The sequence below is a fragment of the Homo sapiens genome, chromosome Y (assembly GCF_000001405.40).
Source record: "Homo sapiens chromosome Y, GRCh38.p14 Primary Assembly".
Classification (NCBI taxonomy): Eukaryota; Metazoa; Chordata; class Mammalia; order Primates; family Hominidae; genus Homo; species Homo sapiens.
In genome coordinates this window covers 11,561,195-11,563,928 of record NC_000024.10, presented here as the reverse complement: position 1 = coordinate 11,563,928, position 2,734 = coordinate 11,561,195, and the positions used below count along the sequence as shown (strand labels likewise).

The 2,734-nt window shown below is 38.3% G+C and overlaps 1 annotated feature.

The window, feature by feature from the left end:
- Window positions 2,019-2,528: an enhancer, noted in NCBI's record as "OCT4-NANOG hESC enhancer chrY:13717077-13717586 (GRCh37/hg19 assembly coordinates)". NCBI's record gives its function as "activates a minimal SCP1, AML or CMV promoter by ChIP-STARR-seq in naive H9 embryonic stem cells {active_cell/tissue: H9 hESC(naive)}" and the evidence as "EXISTENCE:reporter gene assay evidence [ECO:0000049][PMID:30033119]".

Below are 2,734 nucleotides of genomic sequence, written 5' to 3'. Positions count from 1 at the left end.
CCGTTCGATTCCAATCTGTTCAAATCCATTTTCATCCATACCATTCCATTGGAGTCCATTACATTCCTGTCCATTCCTTCGACTCCATTCCATTAAATTCCATTCCATTCCATTATATTCAATATCATCCCTTTACACTCCATTCCTTTCTATTATTTTTGATTCCATTCACTTGCAATCCATTTGATTACATTCCATTCTATTCCTTTACATTCCTCTCTACTCCAGTCGAGTTCATTCCATTCCATTCCATTCTGTTCGACTCCAATCCATTTGATTCAATTTGGTTGGACTCCATTCCTTTCGAGTCCATTCCTTTTGAGTCCACTCCATTCCATTCCATTCCTTTTGATGCCACTCTATTCGACTCCATTTCATGAAACTCCATTCCATTCCATTCTGTCCAATCGGATTCCATAACATTCTATTCCTTTCCGTTCCATTCCGTTCCATTCTTTTCATTCCATTAGATTCCATTCCACTCCAGTCCATTCCATTGGAGACCATTCCATTCCAATCCATTTCTTTCCACTCCCTTCCTTTCCATTCAATTCCTTTCCATTCCATTTCATTCCAATCGATATCTTTCCATTACTCTCAATTCCATTCTCTTCCTTTCTCTTCCATTCCATTGCATTCCATTTGAATCCATTCCATTCGATGCGTTTGCATTTGACTCCATTCCATTCGTGTCCATTCCATCCCATTCCTGTCCATTTGATTCCTTTTTGTTCCAGTCCATTCCTTTCGAGTCAATTCCATTCAAGTCCATTCAATTCGATTTTGTTCCCATTGATTCCATTCCACTCGATTCCATTCCACTTGATTCCAGTCTGCTCCTTTCCAATGCATTCCATTCTACTCCATTATATTGAATTCCGTTCCATTCCATTTGATTCCATTCCATTCGATTCCATTCCATTCGATTCCATTCAATGGTTTTGTATTCCATTTTATTCCATTCTATTCAAATAAATTCCGCTCGTGGCCATTCCTTTCGACACTATTATATTTCAGTCGATTCCATTGGTGTCCATTACATTTGAGTCCATTCCATTCCATTCGGTTCCGTTCCATTCCGTTCCATTCCATTTCATTCGATGCCATTCGATTCCAATATCTTCCATTGCTTTCCATTCCATTCAAGTCCCTTTCATTCAATACCATTCCCATCGATTCTCTTTTATTTGAATCCATTCTATTCCAATCCATTCCATTCCATTCCATTCCATTTGATTCTGTTCCTTTCAATTCCATTTCATTCCATTCCATTTCATTCCATTCCATTCGTTTCCATTCCATTTGTGTACATTCCTCTCCAGTCCGTTCTGATCGAGTCCATTCCATTCCAGTGCATTCCATTCGAGTTCATTCCATTCCCTTCCTTTCGATATCATTCAATTACACTCTATTCCTTTCTATTCCTTTTGATTCCATTCAATTCCATTCCATTGGATTCCATTCCTTTTTAGGTCCATTACATTCGAATACATTCCATTCGAGTCCATTCCACTCCATTCCATTCCATTCCTTTCTGTTCCGTTCGATTCTATTCCAGTAGATTCCTTTGCTTTCCATTCCATTCCATTCCATTCCTTGCCATTCCATTTGAGTCCATTCCACTCCAGTCCATTCCAATCGAGTCCATTCCATTCGATTGCATTCCATTCCATTTGAATAAATTACATTGTAATATATTACGTTCCTGTCCATTCACTTCCAGTTCATTCCATTCCTGCCCATTCCATTCAATTCCATTCCATTCGATTCGATTCAACAGTATTGCATTCCATTCGATTCCATTCTATTGGAATAAATTCGATTTGACACCTTTCCTTAACAGTCCAATATATTCGCGTCCTTTCCATTCCATTCCATTCCATTTATTCCATTTCATTCGATTCCTTTCCATTGCATTGCCTTCCATTCCATTTGTTTACATTCTATTCAATTCCATTCCATTTGAATCAATTATATTGCAATTTATTGCATTTGAGTCGGTTCAATTGGACTCCATTCCGTTCCATTCCATTCCATTCTATTCCATTCTATTCGATACCATTCCATACTATTGCATTCCATTCAATATCATTCCATTCGAATACATTACATTCGAGACCGTTTCTTTCCACTTCATTCTATTTGAGTTCCTTTTATTTGAGTCTATTACTTTTGGGCCCATCCCATTCCAATCCATTTCATTCCATTCCATTCCATTCCATTCCATGCCATGCCATTCCATTCCATGCCATTCCATTCCGTTCCATTTAATTCCATTCCATTCCATCCCATTCCATTCCATTCCATTCCATTCCATTCCATTCCATTCTATGCCATTTCATTTCATTCTATTTGATTCGTGTCCATTCCATTCGATTGCATCCCATTCCATTCAATTCCACTCCATTCAATTCTGCTCCGGTCGAATCCATTCCATTCCATTTCGTTCCATTTGATTACATTCCATTCTATTCCTTTCCATTCCATTCCTTTCCAATCCATTCGAGACCATTCCACTCCAATCCATTCCATTCCAGTCCGTTCTAATGCGCTCCATTTCATTCGAGTCCTTTCCATTCCAGTCCATTCCATTCGTGTCCACTCAATTCCATTCCATTATTTTAATATCTTTCCATTCATCTCCATTCCATTCTATTCATTTCTATTCCATTCAATTCCATTTCATTGGATTCCATTCCTATCGATTCCGTTACATGTCACTCCATTCCATTCC